This window comes from Homo sapiens, chromosome 4, assembly GCF_000001405.40.
Source record: "Homo sapiens chromosome 4, GRCh38.p14 Primary Assembly".
In the NCBI taxonomy this organism is placed as follows: Eukaryota; Metazoa; Chordata; class Mammalia; order Primates; family Hominidae; genus Homo; species Homo sapiens.
This window is the reverse complement of record NC_000004.12, coordinates 148,430,614-148,446,605: the sequence shown is the minus strand read 5'-3', so window position 1 is coordinate 148,446,605 and position 15,992 is coordinate 148,430,614. Positions and strand designations below refer to the sequence as shown.

Genomic DNA, 15,992 nt, shown 5'->3' with positions numbered 1-15,992 from the left:
TATCAACATGTTTTATCACATATCTATCCATCCTTCTGTCCATTTTATCAATCCACCAATGTTGCTGCATTTTATTTTTGATGCACGCACTTCCAAATTAGTTTGCAGACATCAGTACACTTCCAAATGGTTCTTTTTAAAACTCACTGAATGTTATTTTTCAAAATATCTGATACGTAAATATTTTCTTGATCACCATCTTAAGATATACCTTAAGAATGCAGTAAATATGAACCTAGAAGCCTTTCCTACAAATAAGAAAAGCCAAAAGGTTGTTTTACTAGAGGCCAAATTGTTACCTTGAGCCAGCTAAGAACCGAGTCGTGCCAAAACTGTGTAGGTGATGGAGGCAATGGGAAGCTCGCTGTCAGGACAGTGGGAATGTGGAAGGAGAAAGGCAGTGATTGTTTTAACAGGGCACCTCGGTGTTTAACACGGGTCTATGTGGGAAGGGATTAGCAACTTTCACAGCTATTTAGGAATAAAACGGGAAAGAACCCAAAGAAGGGCGGGGGTGGAAGGGGGCAATAGAGCCTGCAGAAAAAGGAGTGTTAAGCCAGAAAAGGGGTGTGTGTGTGGTCAGTTGGTGGGGTTTAACTGAGTCAAAAGGGACCACAGCAGGGGAGCCGGTTAACTGGTAGTGACACTCACACTTCTCCCCCCTCCCAAACCCCCAATCTTCCATCTAAGGGTGTGTGTAACGGTGCGGGGGAAGAGTCTGGGGCAGAAGCGTACCTCGCACACGCGCGTGAACACGCGCGCACACACATGCACACGCATACATATCTCCTGACGTGGTGATCTCCGTGGCCGGGGTGGGGGCGTGGGACTCCGGGGAGGCTCCGCAGAGGGGCAGCGGGCGCGGGAGAATCCCGGGATCCGGGTTCACCCATCCATCCTCTGTCCCCTGCCGCGTGCCCGCGCGCCGCCGGCCGCCCGCCTGCCGGGCCCAGTCGCCCCCCTTTCACTTTCGCGTCTGCGTAGGTGTCTGCCCGAGCGGGCACGAGGGCGCGGGGGCGCGCCAGGAGACGCGGGGGCGCGCGGCGCGCCGCGAGCGGAGGAGGAGGGGTCCCGGCTCTCGGCCCCTTCCTCGGCTTGCCCCGCCGAGCCGCCTCCGCGGGCGTCTGAGCCGCCGTCAGAGCGAGGGGACCGGTCGCGACCGCAGCGCCCCAGCCAGCTCCCCGCACGCCTCCGCGCACAGACGCCCGCTCCCTCCTCGGCGCCCCCCCACGGCGGGGGTGGGGCAGAGGCGCGGCGAGCCCGAGAGGGGCGGGGAGAGGAGCAGCCTGGCGGGGTGGGCAGCCGAGGAGCAGGAAAAGAAAACTTTTCCCTCCCGCCCCCCGCGCGAGGTCCCCAGCCCTCGCCTCCCCCCGCAGGTGGGAACTGCACCTGAAGCCGGGCGCGAGGTCAGGGCCGGACTTTGGAGGGCTGCGGGCAGGGCTGAAGGGGGTGCGTGCATTTGGGCTCAGTTTTCCTTTGGCCTCCAGGTTGTCAGTGGCCGTAGTGGGAGGGCGGCTGCCGGCGCCCCTGCCCGTTTCCCACCCGCGGGTGGCCGGACGCGGTGCCGCCTCCTCCCGCTCGTGAGGGCGTGACCCGGGGAGGGGGGCGCAGGCTCCCCCTGCGACCGCCCCCTCACACACGCGCTCGGCCGCCGGAGCTGTCACCGGCCACCCAGGGCCCGGGGAGGGGGCGCGGAGAGTGGCGCTGCGGAGCGGCGGGCGCGGGATCCTCCTGCCGGACTTCCCGGCTCCCAGGGACGCCGCTGTCAACGCCGAGCGGACGCGCAGCCCCGGGAGAGGGGCCCGCCAGAGGCCCGGCCGCCGCCGCTGGGGGCGGGCGGGTGCCCGCGTCCCCCTCTGCGCGATTTGGCGCCGCTGCCTCGCCGCCTCTTGTAGGGTAACAGCACTATTGCTCTACCCACCGTCAGCAGGGCGACTGCCACTGCCGGGATTATCATCCTCTCCATCCTCACCGCCGATCAGCCAATATTGGACTTGCTGGTGGCGGCGGCAGCAGCGGCGGCGGGAGTCTAGCCGTTCCCCTTCCCCCGCCCCAGCCTCCCCACCATGTCCTAGAAAAGGTGAGTGCAGCGACAGTCACTTTGCGCTGACAGCGGCGAGAGGGGGTCCGGAGAGCGCAGGGGCGGCCCCGGGCAAGGCAGGTTGCGCGCCCAGGGCAGAGGGCGCGGGTTGGCGAGCGGAGGTGGGATGCGGGCAGGAGACGAGTTGCCCGCTGGCGGCCCTGGGGCAAGGGTGCTGGGTGGCGGGCGAGTGATCGCGGCGGCTGCCCCTGCACGGTTCTAACCTAGATTTTGCAAGAAGCTGAGATCCAGGGCAAGACCGGCCCTCCTCAAAGGAGATAAAAACTTAGTAAAAGAGACACGTCCATTCCTTTAATAATGAATAATTCGGCAACGCTTGCGGAGCCGCCGCCGCCTCGCGTGCCCAGGCTCTAGGTCCGGGACTCCCCTTGCTCCCGCCCGCCGCCCGCGCTCTGCCGACGTGAGATCGATGCCCAGTTCGCTGGGCCGGGAGAGTGCGCGTGACGGTGGGCCCCGCGGGAAAGTTGGGACGCTCGGCGGGGACTCCTGGCTGCGGGGACGCCGGGGGCAGCTCCAAGCTGGGGACCGAGGGGCATTAGAGTCTGGGGTCAGGACCAGCTCGCGGCGCTGCCGCTGTCGCCCCTATCTCCAGGGAGTTCCTGACTGGAGCGGCTGAGAGTTCAAGTCTCAGCCCTGGGTTAGGGGTCCGGAATCCCGGAGCTTAACTAACTGTTAAGGAGAGGAGGGGCCTTTGGGCACAGGGTGTCCCCCGGTCCCCCGCCTCGGGCTTTGGCGGGCGCGAAGCGAGGGTGAGGCGGGAGGCCGCACAGCTGCCGCCGCCGGGCTGCGGGTCGCCGAGGGCCGGGGGACCAGATTTAGGTGTATACGTCACTGATGCTGACTCCGGGCCAGCGGGGAGCCTAAAACGGGGCCTTACATGAGAAGCCTAAAAGTCCTTAGAAATCAAAGTTAGGAACCCCATCCTTTTGCTTAGTAACTGCAGCATTTGGGTGGGCGGGAGGAGAATCGAGGAGGGGGCGGTTGGAGGGAAACCGAAATTTCTTCATGCAGACAACCGATCCTTAGAAAACAGTTTGGTTCCTTCCCCCCTCCTGTCTGTTTCTCCCACTTATGTGACCCACCCCCTCCACCCATTATAACGTGAATATCCTCGATGGTAAGCTTGCTTTCAAATTGAACTAGTGGAAAAATCCAATACTAAAGTAGTAAGTACAGTGACAAAATTATAAGGAAGTAGAGGAGCAGCTCTTGACCCTGCCACTTCTTTCATTTATCTTTCTCTCTCTCTCTTTTTTTTTTTTTTTTTTTTTTTTTTTTTTTTGGTGTTAGGGGTCTAAGGGATGGGAGGAAAGCTGTGTTTAAAGGGTTTTTCCAGCACGGTTAAAACAACTAAATTCAAATCGAGTGAACGTGATCGTCTTGCTCGCTGGCAGCGAAGGCTGCTGCTGCTCTGCTGAGAGGTAACTCTGGAGACAGTGGAAAGGGGCTGGGAGAGGAACCTCGAGGGTCGGGTGAAGCCCACCCAGAGTCCTCCCCGCGCGCGGACGCTGTTGGGCGGCGCCAGGGTCTGGGCTGCAGCTCACCTGGAGCTGCAGGTGGAGAGCGTGAGGGGACGACACTTTGCTCGCGGAAAAACCGACTTCTTCCGCGTCAGCACACTTTTCACATCTCTCCAGATATCCTGGGGTCGGTCAGAAGGAGAGCAGGGTGGACGTAAGCAAGTTTGGGGCGGCCGAGCGATGGGGGTGGGGGCAGCGTGCGGAGGCCGCCTGATGTAGCCACCGCCCGGCACCCCAAGCTCCCGCCGCGGCTGCGGCTTTAAGGAAGCTGCCGAGTCCAGGCTGTGTCGCAGCAACTTTGTATCAGTCATGTCGCCCGCCTGGTGACTGACAGCCTGGATTGTCCAATAAGAAGCCCGCCTGACCCGTGCGGCGTGGAGCCTTGCTTCTCTTCGGGCCAATAGGAAGGGTTCAGGGGGGCGGGATAGCAACCTGAACTTTATCTGGACATGTGACCCGCTTTTAAAAGGGCCAGCCCTCCAGCTGGCCCACTCCCCCTCCGGGCTTTCGCCCGCCCTCTCTCCCTCCCTTTTTTGCCCGCCCTGGCCCTGCCCCTGCCCCTGCCCCCTCCTCTCAGCCCCTCCGCGCCCGGGGTGTCATTGGGCCCGGGAGACGGGAGCCAACTTCAGGCTGCTCAGAGGAAGCCCGTGCAGTCAGTCACCTGGGTGCAAGAGCGTTGCTGCCTCGGGCTCTCCCGCTGCAGGGAGAGCGGCACTCGCTGGCCTGGATGTGGTTGGATTTAGGGGGGCTCCGCAGCAGGGGTTTCGTGGCGGTGGCAAGCGCTGCAACAGGTAGACGGCGAGAGACGGACCCCGGCCGAGGCAGGTGTGTAGGGGCGCGCGGCGGGGCACCGCTTGCCGTGCTCGGCGTGCGGCCGCGGCGCGGGAGCGTGCACTTTGCAGGGAGAAGTGGCTGCGTAATCCGGAGGCACAGTCAGTATGGTGCTGTGTGCTTGTTGTTTTGTTTTGGTTTTCCACTTTTCTCCCCCTTTGGCCGCCAGAGGACTATTTTGGGAAAGTTTGGCCACTTTGGATAAATGCCCTCTAACTAGCAGCTTTTAACTGCCTTTGGCAGTGGGAGGTCTACCACCCTTCCCTTTACCCAAAGATGAATTTCGGATCATTTTCCCTGTACAATTTTTAAAGGACGTTTGAATAATATTTCTTTCCTTTATCAATTGCGGACGCTCCCAAATCTCAGCCGGAGGTGTAGCGCATAAGGGCAGTTGAAGGAGATATAGATCCTAATAGATCCTGTATAAAAGGGGCTCTGGAAATTCGTGCATTTCCCGTTCGCTAGCATTCGCGAAACTCTTGAGACAGGCTACGCTTCCTATGGCATCAGTTGGAATTTTAAGGGCAAGGGAGAAGGGGACGAAGCTTCTTTTGGTGGCATCCTTACTCTGCTACTGAATTTTAGGTGCGTGGCTTTGCCTACTCAATTTAAAAAGACCAGGTTTAAATAATAATGGTTTATGGCACCATCAGTTTTAATTATTTATTATGACATAGGAGTTAGGAAAACTTTTGATAGCAGACGAGCTTTTGAAACCGCCGAATTTTAAAGGCACCAAATTGCTTCCTAACATTTTGTATTGCCATTTCTCTAGGTGCTGTTATTGATGATATTTACATAGTAATGATAACAGCATTCTCCATCTGTGAAGTCCTGCTGTGAAGTTTAAATTTTATGTTTGACATCGTGGCAGCTATCATGGAAAAGCTTGAGAGGAGAAGTTTTAAAAAATAATTTAAAGTGGAGCTTTTTCCTTTAAGGGAGGCATAGTTTTGTTTGGCGATTTTTGGAAAGATCAGGTGGCTCGGTAAATTAGGTGAGTGAATAGAAATCAGGTGTGCTCAGTTCTAACTGGTTCTCCCGCTCTCTCAGGTGACCTTGGGCAGATTTCTATCATTTACCTCATCTATAAAAGAGAGGAACATAATAGTTATGTAGTGGGGAATGACAAAAAATAGTTACATATAGTGAACTTTTACAACTATGCAGTCTATAGATGATTGTGAGATTCTTAAGCTTTAGTCTTTAAAGTGCCATCTTATAGTCAAATAAATATAAAAAAGATGCCTTTTCTATCATTTCCATCATGATGAGATTGGGTTTTGGGGGTTACTAAAAGTGAAAGTGTTTCCAGATAAAATACAAATTCGCAAGGATCTTTGTTAATATTCCCGAAAAAAGTACTTCTTTATGGAAAAGGGCAATTTAACACAGACTGTAAAACGTAAAACTTTAAGGTTTTCCTTTGTGAAAACAGCATTTCTTTTGTGTTTGAGAGCATATGTATGGCTTAAAGTAGCACCTCCACCAGTGCTTTTCCTTTAGTGAATTTTTTTTTGTGTTTTGGGGCGAGGCCCATTTGCATGAAAATTAAAAGTTCATAATGTTTTTTGCATTTGTCCTAAGAGAATCTTTGGTATGGTTTCCATTGTGAGGCAGGCAAGCCTGATTTTTGTTAGTTAGATTTGTATACCTCTATCTGCTTCATTTTATACTTTAGTAACATAAACTTTTTCTTTATCCTCTAGATATTAAGTTCTATGAGGATCATATTCATCGACTAGTATTTTCAGTATTCACTAGTTAGTACAGGTTGACTGAAATTCTGCTCAAGCCATGGTCATTGTGCCAGTTGCAAAAAGATAACCTCTGCTTCCTGGATGACATAGTAAATAAATTCCTAACTGGACCCATTTGTTTACAGAAAAGACTAATTAAAATACTAGGGAGACTCAAAATATTTCAATAATGCTATTTGAAAAATATCTGATCTTAAAAAAATGTTTGTGTAGAAGCCGTGCAGATGCTAGATGTCTTGTATTCTTTTGTGTTTGACTATTGCCAATCTGTATTGTTTCCTTTGTTGAGAGGTGCATTAGGTTGGTAGATGAGAATACCTTAAACAAAGTAATTTAGATTTCAGCAAAGCCTTTTGCAAATTCCTTAATGAGACTCCTGTCAATAATGTGGTGAAACACAGCCTATTTTATGTTATTAAGGGAGTTCAAGGTTAGCCAAACAGGACTTGGAAAGTTGTGATCAGCTGTATGATGTTAGCTGGTAAGGTGCTACCTTGTCCAGGGCTTTAAGACTGTCTTTGGTACCCATCATCTCCAGTATAGATTCTCTTCAGGTCTTCCGTAGCCTCACAAATGTGGGATATGGTTCTTGCTTTAGGGCAGAGTGCCGAAAAGTGCAGAATCTTAGTAGATGTTCTTTGAGAAAAAGGTGGAGTGGTCAAATTATTTGAGGAATGCTGGATTAAAAAGTAAACAGAATCTCCCAGAGGTTTTGATATGCAAATTTATATAGGGAAATTTCAAAAAAGCCAAGAGTGGACCGCCCTTCCCAAAAGACAATTTGGAGAATGGGTTTTGGAGAGGGGTCTGGGTGGGGGTCCCCTTCAGACACGGGACAGAGAGCCCTCTTGACTATGACCAGGAAGAGAATGAGGCTATGTGAGTGACGCAGAGTGTGCCAGTGAAGGCCTTCAGGTAAAGCTGTTGAGACAAGAGTAACTTCCAGGCATCTGGTTAGATGGTGGTGCAGTTTGCCAAGAGAGCGAATGTGAATTTGGGGGTGTGTGGGGGGAGAGATGTGCAGAAAGTGTTCAGTTTTGAATACAAATAGACATATTTATTGTGTTGTTTAATGGATTTGGATCTGAACCATTTATACCTTAGCTATATAGTAATTTATCTTTAGTATGGGGAAGACAAAATATTCTTAGGTAGAAATAGAAGCAGCATATAATATTTACTGCTATTTTTCAATACATAGCTATGACTAAATGGTTTTTTAGTAAAGCATAAAAGGCCAGTCTTAGCTATTTGGATCCCAATTCACTGTTTTTTAGTTTAGTTTTCTATCAGCTTTTACTTGGCTTTCATCCACACCAAACATTTTGGCTGGAATTACTATTAATAGATAACTACCTCAACCTTTGTAATTTTATTTATTTTCTACTGTTTTGTGATTGATTTTTGATTAGGAATTCATAGGATGTTCTTTAAGTGAAAACATACTACATAATTGGTAGATTTTAATGTTTGGAAATTGAGCATTGATATTATAATAGTTGAAAATTTTTTCAATGTATCCACTTGGGATACTGTAGTGAAATTGATCATTTCTGCCCTTTGAGAAGGTAAACTCTAGTGTAAAAACACAGAAAAGTAAGAGGTAATTATAATACTTGGACAATTTGGACATTAAATTTCTTCATAGGGCTTTGTGCTATCTAATGCAAATTTATTTATGAGTCCAGCTAAGATTTATCTAATGCAAATTTATTTAGTAGCATTATTTTTCAATGTTAATACATATTCTGTAACAAAAGGACTTCGTGTTTTTTGTTTTTTTTTAAATGAAGGGAAGGTAGGCAGGGTGGAGATAGTGACAAAGAGGGGAAAGGATGAGAGGCCAAAAATAAAACTTGTGTATAGAATGGCAGAAACAGCATCTTTTAGATCAGGACTTTTTTTGGGCCATAGATTGTTTACAGACTTTGAAATGTTTGAAAAATGCATAATACAGATTTTAGGAGTTTTAAAATACTAAAATGTAAAAATAAAATTTTACTGTGAGTGAGTTAATTTCCTTTAAGATATGTTTCTTTACAGTGGTGGTTGTCAGCCAAGGGTGATTTTGCCCCCCATGGGCATTTGGTAATGTCTGGAGACATTTTCAGTTGTCACAACTGGGGAGGTGGAATGCTACTGGCATCTAGTGGGTAGGGGTTAGGGATACTGCTAAACGCCTTAGCAATGCATTATTGACCTCCACAACTAAGAATTATCAGGCCCAAAATGTCAATGTGCCAAGATTGAGAAACTGTATAGAGAGAGACTTGCGATCAAATTGCAGCTCCAACACTTGGTTGTGTGTCTGGTGCCTCAGTTTTCACACTTGTATTATTTGGATAATACTTTTATCAGTCATTCAGGGTTGTGTGTAAGGATAAATGAATTAATATATGCAAGAAGCTTGCAATACTGCATTAAATTATATGGGTAAGAATTATATCAATATAGCCTATTATGAAGATTCTGTCTGTGAAGTAAATTGATCTATAGAGCGCATGGATATGGTTATATATCTGAAACAACCTGGTGGGTTGCTTGAGGATGGGGATTGTGTCTCTTTTGTTTATCACTGCCTGTTCACTGACTGGTCTAAGGCCAAGGGTGTAGCAGGCACTTGGTAAATATTGTTGAATGAATGAATGAATGCTTAAATTTTCGGGGCTCCTCTCAAAAGTCACCATTTACCATTGAGAGTAAACATTTCTGGTTGTTGGCAGTCGTTCTAGCAGAGGTACCACTGGTACCATGCACAGGTCAGGGTGCATGTCAAAGTCCTTGCCAGTACTGAAATACAGAGAAGACACCAGTCATTCCTGAATTGTCATACAGCCCTTCTGAGATATGGACCATCTTTATCAGAATGTATAGATCTTTTCAGAACTGACATTAAATTATCTTCATCACTAATCTAAAGAGAGTCTTACTTTTAAAAAAATCAAAAATTATTTTTCCTATGATAATTCACTTGGTATGTTTATGTTTGGAAAGAGTAACTTTAATTACATTTCCATATTGTTTTTAACAAGGCCATGAATTAAATATGGAAGGCAGCTTCTATATGATCCAAAGACTCCAAAGGCATTGGAGTCAAAAGATTTAGATTTAAACCCAACTTTGTCACCATGTCTTTGACTTTGGGCAAGCCACCCACTTCACTAAGTCCTCAGTTACCTTTTTTTGCCTGCCTTAATAATTCCCAGGATTACTTTGAATATCTAATAAGTTAACATTTGTAAATATTTTTTGCAGACTCTAAAGACTGTATTATAGCAAACATGTTACTTTTATTTAGATCCAAAACAGTTTTATATGATCGCTTCTCTTGTTCTGACATCTCGACAAGCTGTAGTCAATACTCTGTTATGTCAGCATCCAAAAAGGTAACAGTTTTAAATTAGCTAGAAATGTTGCTCATAATAAGTAGAATATGTTTTGTGGCTTAGCAAATGCAATTTTAGAATGTCTTTTAGAGTAATATTGCTATAACTGACTCTAATTTTTTAATGTAAATTTATTTGTTAGCGATGGAGACCAAAGGCTACCACAGTCTCCCTGAAGGTCTAGATATGGAAAGACGGTGGGGTCAAGTTTCTCAGGCTGTGGAGCGTTCTTCCCTGGGACCTACAGAGAGGACCGATGAGAATAACTACATGGAGATTGTCAACGTAAGCTGTGTTTCCGGTGCTATTCCAAACAACAGTACTCAAGGAAGCAGCAAAGAAAAACAAGAACTACTCCCTTGCCTTCAGCAAGACAATAATCGGCCTGGGATTTTAACATCTGATATTAAAACTGAGCTGGAATCTAAGGAACTTTCAGCAACTGTAGCTGAGTCCATGGGTTTATATATGGATTCTGTAAGAGATGCTGACTATTCCTATGAGCAGCAGAACCAACAAGGAAGCATGAGTCCAGCTAAGATTTATCAGAATGTTGAACAGCTGGTGAAATTTTACAAAGGAAATGGCCATCGTCCTTCCACTCTAAGTTGTGTGAACACGCCCTTGAGATCATTTATGTCTGACTCTGGGAGCTCCGTGAATGGTGGCGTCATGCGCGCCGTTGTTAAAAGCCCTATCATGTGTCATGAGAAAAGCCCGTCTGTTTGCAGCCCTCTGAACATGACATCTTCGGTTTGCAGCCCTGCTGGAATCAACTCTGTGTCCTCCACCACAGCCAGCTTTGGCAGTTTTCCAGTGCACAGCCCAATCACCCAGGGAACTCCTCTGACATGCTCCCCTAATGTTGAAAATCGAGGCTCCAGGTCGCACAGCCCTGCACATGCTAGCAATGTGGGCTCTCCTCTCTCAAGTCCGTTAAGTAGCATGAAATCCTCAATTTCCAGCCCTCCAAGTCACTGCAGTGTAAAATCTCCAGTCTCCAGTCCCAATAATGTCACTCTGAGATCCTCTGTGTCTAGCCCTGCAAATATTAACAACTCAAGGTGCTCTGTTTCCAGCCCTTCGAACACTAATAACAGATCCACGCTTTCCAGTCCGGCAGCCAGTACTGTGGGATCTATCTGTAGCCCTGTAAACAATGCCTTCAGCTACACTGCTTCTGGCACCTCTGCTGGATCCAGTACATTGCGGGATGTGGTTCCCAGTCCAGACACGCAGGAGAAAGGTGCTCAAGAGGTCCCTTTTCCTAAGACTGAGGAAGTAGAGAGTGCCATCTCAAATGGTGTGACTGGCCAGCTTAATATTGTCCAGTACATAAAACCAGAACCAGATGGAGCTTTTAGCAGCTCATGTCTAGGAGGAAATAGCAAAATAAATTCGGATTCTTCATTCTCAGTACCAATAAAGCAAGAATCAACCAAGCATTCATGTTCAGGCACCTCTTTTAAAGGGAATCCAACAGTAAACCCGTTTCCATTTATGGATGGCTCGTATTTTTCCTTTATGGATGATAAAGACTATTATTCCCTATCAGGAATTTTAGGACCACCTGTGCCCGGCTTTGATGGTAACTGTGAAGGCAGCGGATTCCCAGTGGGTATTAAACAAGAACCAGATGATGGGAGCTATTACCCAGAGGCCAGCATCCCTTCCTCTGCTATTGTTGGGGTGAATTCAGGTGGACAGTCCTTCCACTACAGGATTGGTGCTCAAGGTACAATATCTTTATCACGATCGGCTAGAGACCAATCTTTCCAACACCTGAGTTCCTTTCCTCCTGTCAATACTTTAGTGGAGTCATGGAAATCACACGGCGACCTGTCGTCTAGAAGAAGTGATGGGTATCCGGTCTTAGAATACATTCCAGAAAATGTATCAAGGTAAGTTGGTTTTCTCCATTTTTTTGGAAGTCATGGCTTTATACATGTTGAAGGTTAGCATTATCTTTACAGTTGATAAATTTAAACACATTTCAGATTACTGTTTTAAGGATGGTCATATGTTGCTCCACTTTGCATGTTGATATAATGTTATTTTTTTGAAGTAGAGGGAAAAAGCATTCTTAAAATGTCTTAGAAAATATCTGCATTGATTTTGAAGGGGCATATGTAGGTGTCCCGCACTCCCCATTTCCTGTTTTAGGTGTTCGGAAAATTTATGTTTTACTGCCAGTTACTATTGTAAATACAGTAATTTAGCAGACCAGTACTAGATTTTTTTTCCTTTAGCTGTTTGCCGGTTTACTAAAATTGCTTTAAGTTAGTTTATTTGTGGTCTTAGTCCTTTTTTTTATTATGGCTTTCTTTATTAATCATCACTTCATCGGTTGTGAAAGCTAAAATTGAATCCTGTATCTGTTACCCACAGGCTTCCCTCCCTTCTGCCCTTTTCTAAGTAGGTTAATTATATGAAAGTTGTGGTTTTTCAATACAAATAAATCATTTCCTTAACTGTTGAGAGCTTTTAAAGACTCAGCATATCTAAAATTACTAAGTGGACAATCTTGCTTTCTTACTTATATTGGAAGTGAAATATGTCACTGCAGTTTTGAATTGGTATATTTATAACTTTTCAGATCTGCAAGAAGACATATTTTATTTACTGTAAAATATCTCTTGGCTTTCCTTGTTGCAGATAGCATGTTGTATATATTTAGAAAAAACAAGGAAGAGGTTTTAGATATGACTATAAAGGGTGGTTCTAAGTTATACAGTGAATACTTGGATTGGACTTTGCTTCAGTACTGTTTTTATTACATGGTTGTGATAAATTATTCCTTTATGGACTATATAAAGAATAGATTTCCTTAGTATAGTTCATTCCTTTGGCATCCAGAACTATGTGGATAGTTTCCTTTATTTCATTAAAAATTATTTTGTGGGGAATATGTCCATCCCATTAACAGGATATAGGGTTTACATGTATTGCTGTGGCTTTCTCTTATTCTATTTTTTTCCAAACCAAAAGCAAAAACTTTATGTATTCTTCTTATTGTCATTGCCTCAAACCTTGCTTTTCTTGCTTATGGAAGCAAACATTTCATAAAGGATACATTTTTATAGTTTCCCCACAGCATGAACTATTTAATCATATTCTGATGCTGTCTCTTAAATTATAAGTTCTAACACAAGTCATGAGATAGCATGGCTGCCATCAGAACCAAATTGAGCATGTGTTTTACTGCTAGTGCTTTGCTTTACTTTTAGAGAAGGACTTTTTTCATGTGTTGTGAATATTTTTGTAAATGATGTTTTTAGTGAGCTGGTATGAGGTAGTATAGCCTGGTAGTTAACAGCATAACTGGTTGAAATCCCAACTCTGCTACTTAATTGTTTAGTTTTCTCAACTGTATAAGGGGATTAAATAGTACCCATCTCAAAGGTAGTTAAGACAATTTAAATGAGATAATTTATGAGAAATACTTTGAATTCCTTCCAGTATGTTAGTATGCATTGTATATGTTTTGCTATTATGAAATTGTTTTATAATTTTTAGTTTTCATATTTTTAGTTTTCTTTTTCTTCATTGTATGAAATTCCACAGAATCTTATAAAGAAATACTTAAAATATTTAAGCACTTGTTAAAGTAAATATTTGATAATCTCTTATGATTAAACTCATATTTTAAAAATGATTATGCACTATACCTTTGTTATTACAGTTCTATTTATGCTTTTTTATTTTTGAAAACTATTGCTTTGAGTAATGATGTTTCTGGTAGAAATATTACAGATGCAGTAAGCTCAAATGATTGTCTCTTATGTTTGTTCTATATCCCTATTTCTACTATTTTAAATGTAGTTTTCATGCTCCACTCAAGAAGCCCTCCTGATGGTCCAATGACCCGTGCATAGCCTTAGACATGTTAGTATGAATTAGTGACCTTGAGCCTATCCTGCATTCATAGGCACAGGAAGCATTGTCTTGTGTCTCCTCTTGAGTATTCCAAAATTCCTTATGTATTTGTTAATACAGTCAACAGGGATTCATTCTGCTTATATACATACTAGTTTTGTGCCAGCTAAATTTCCTAAAAACTTTAAAGCTTTAACGTGATTTGATATCTCTTATAGATTAATGATTCTTTACAGCTTTTCTTGGTGAATACTATCCAAACCTATTTGTTTTGATGATTACCAGAGTAAAAGCTCAAGGATCAGAGGAAATTTAGTTGTTTTTCTAGAGTTCAGTCTACATGTTATAATATTTAATTTAACCTTGTCCAAGTATCATCCTTAGTCTCTTATTTTGAACAAAAAACCCAACCTTTTTGCCTATTTCTTAAAATATGATGATAACTCATTTCAGGGAATGTTGAATAGGTTAATGAATTAAATATCATAAAGGATCAAGGCAGTGTATACTGCTTCTAGGTTTAATAGTATCCTTCATCATTAGGTTGAACCTTGAACTGCAGTATTTTCTGGTAGATGTCAAATCATGGTTTGAGGGTTCCTGAGACCTTTTCAAGGAAGTTCACACAGTCAGAAATCATGCTTTGTTAAAATATCCACCCAAAATGGAACACAGATCAATGGATTTTGATATAATCTTGTATGAAAATTTCACTGATGTTGTTTCAGATTCCACATTGAAACTAACCTTTAAGGAACTATTCAGTGTTATTTTTCAGTATAGTATCAAAGATTCATATCTACAATTATCTGAAATGACCATTAAAATATTCTTCCCCTTTCCCAACAACATATCTATATGAGATGAGATTTTCTCTATGTACTTGAAGAAAAACATAGCACCACACGTAGCAATGAAAATCCAGCAGTCTTCTATTAAGTGTGACAGTAGTCTTGCAAAAATGTTAAACAGTGCCACTCTTCTCACTAAGGATTTTTGTTTGGGGAAATATTGTTTCATAAACAGTTTTCATATTGTTTATGTTAATATGCAATCACTTATTTTTAAATGATTTTAAAACATTTGTTTTAATTTTTAATTTAAACTAATTTAATATTAGTTTTAATTTTTAACTTAAATAATTTAATTTTAGTTTTAATTTCCAATACAGTAGCAATAACTGTAACTCACATAAACAAATGCTCTTTGGGATCCTTCATACTTTTTAAGAATGAAAAGGAGTTCTGAGATCCAGAAGCTGAGAACTGCTGGTCTGTTCTCTTCTATACACGCTTTGGAGGTTAATGAAGAAAGAAGACATTACATTATTTGTATTAGTGTTACTGAATATTATTTTGAGGAAGGAGTGTTCTATTCAAATAGGAAAAATGATTCTTGCTCAGGTTAATTTTTTAAACTGACAGAAATGAGTAATGGCTGTGAGGTGTGTGTTGTCTTTATTTCAGTCTGTGGGCATTCAGTGAGAGTGGTGACGAAAGTCATCTGTTAATAATTTCCAGTGAATGGATTGTCTGAGCACCAAATTGTAAAGTAAATTATGACAAAGCTAAATGTAAAGCCCTTAGAATGGACGCCGGACCTAGTTGTGTCAGGTGGATTAGAACTCCCCTGTCTGCTTGGACATCAACAAAACCGCTCTGAGCCTCAGTTTCTTCATTTTAAAGTGATTAAGTTGAACTAATCATTTTGCTGATCACTAATGTGCCCCAAGAGCTGCCAGTGTAATTTCCTTTGAAGAATCAAAATAGAGTATCCTTTAACATACTTGCTAATTTAGTTTCAAGTATTTTGTATACTCAAGTCTAGCTTCATGGTTTTCAGGGTAGTCTGGGGAGAAAAATATCATTTCCATTTACCATTTTAAAGTAAAAATGAGGAGGGGCGATCTATGATTTTACTTGAAAAGAGGAGCAGTTGTGTTTTTTTAAAACCAGATTTAAAGAAAAAATAAACTCTGAAACTTACTATGAATTCCTTGTTCTTCTTATTTATACAATTCCTCATGGAAACAGGGCATTTCTGTTGACATAACACTGGCTGTTTATGGCGATAGTCATAGTCACTTTGATAGCATCATAACACAGGGCTAACATTGACTTAGACTTTTAAATGTAAAGTTTACTATTTCAAAGGGCATATTCTGGTAGGTTACAAGAACAGTAATTAGGATTTATCTTAATATGTGCTGATTTTTTTTCACGATAGAATGAAACAGTTTAGTAAATAACCTATATTTATTCTTTTATTTTTCAATTGCCCCTGAAGTTTCCTTGAAACTCACATTATATGACAAACCAAACATCAGAATTCGGGGAGTTTGTGACAAAGTTTGCCCTTTTACTAAACTTTCAATATAAACAGTTGAGAAGGAAATATTTCCATGTAATGCAATGTCTGAAAGAATGGTAGGGTGTGTGTCTGAGAGAGAGAGAGTGTATTGGTGCTTACTCTAATACATAAATCCATTACAGCATTGCTTAGGTCATTTGGGAAT

At 43.6% G+C, this 15,992-nt stretch overlaps 1 protein-coding gene across 10 annotated transcripts in view, besides 4 other annotated features; it reads left to right on the top strand.

Annotated features, from left to right (window-relative positions):
• Window positions 859-998: a silencer, noted in NCBI's record as "silent region_15746". NCBI's record gives its function as "represses an Ori minimal core promoter by ATAC-STARR-seq in GM12878 lymphoblastoid cells {active_cell/tissue: GM12878}" and the evidence as "EXISTENCE:reporter gene assay evidence [ECO:0000049][PMID:35858748]".
• NR3C2 (nuclear receptor subfamily 3 group C member 2) overlaps window positions 1,284-15,992 on the top strand; it is a 366,559-nt gene continuing 351,850 nt past the window's right edge. For 6 of the 10 annotated variants that reach the window (NR_148974.2, NM_001166104.2, NM_000901.5 and 3 more), the window contains exons 1-2: window positions 4,192-4,446; window positions 9,744-11,502. Coding sequence is in view for 9 of the 10 variants with exons in the window: in NM_001166104.2 (NP_001159576.1) it covers window positions 9,746-11,502 (1,757 nt within the window). In the remaining variant the exon portion in view is untranslated. Of the gene's footprint in view, window positions 1,407-1,898; window positions 2,081-3,472; window positions 3,523-4,191; window positions 4,447-9,743; window positions 11,503-15,992 lie in introns of those variants that run through there. The other 4 variants (NM_001437655.1, NM_001437654.1, NM_001354819.1 and 1 more) reach the window with 4 other exon arrangements.
• Window positions 1,759-1,808: a silencer, noted in NCBI's record as "silent region_15745". NCBI's record gives its function as "represses an Ori minimal core promoter by ATAC-STARR-seq in GM12878 lymphoblastoid cells {active_cell/tissue: GM12878}" and the evidence as "EXISTENCE:reporter gene assay evidence [ECO:0000049][PMID:35858748]".
• Window positions 1,969-2,058: an enhancer, noted in NCBI's record as "active region_22013". NCBI's record gives its function as "activates an Ori minimal core promoter by ATAC-STARR-seq in GM12878 lymphoblastoid cells {active_cell/tissue: GM12878}" and the evidence as "EXISTENCE:reporter gene assay evidence [ECO:0000049][PMID:35858748]".
• Window positions 3,995-4,284: a silencer, noted in NCBI's record as "silent region_15744". NCBI's record gives its function as "represses an Ori minimal core promoter by ATAC-STARR-seq in GM12878 lymphoblastoid cells {active_cell/tissue: GM12878}" and the evidence as "EXISTENCE:reporter gene assay evidence [ECO:0000049][PMID:35858748]".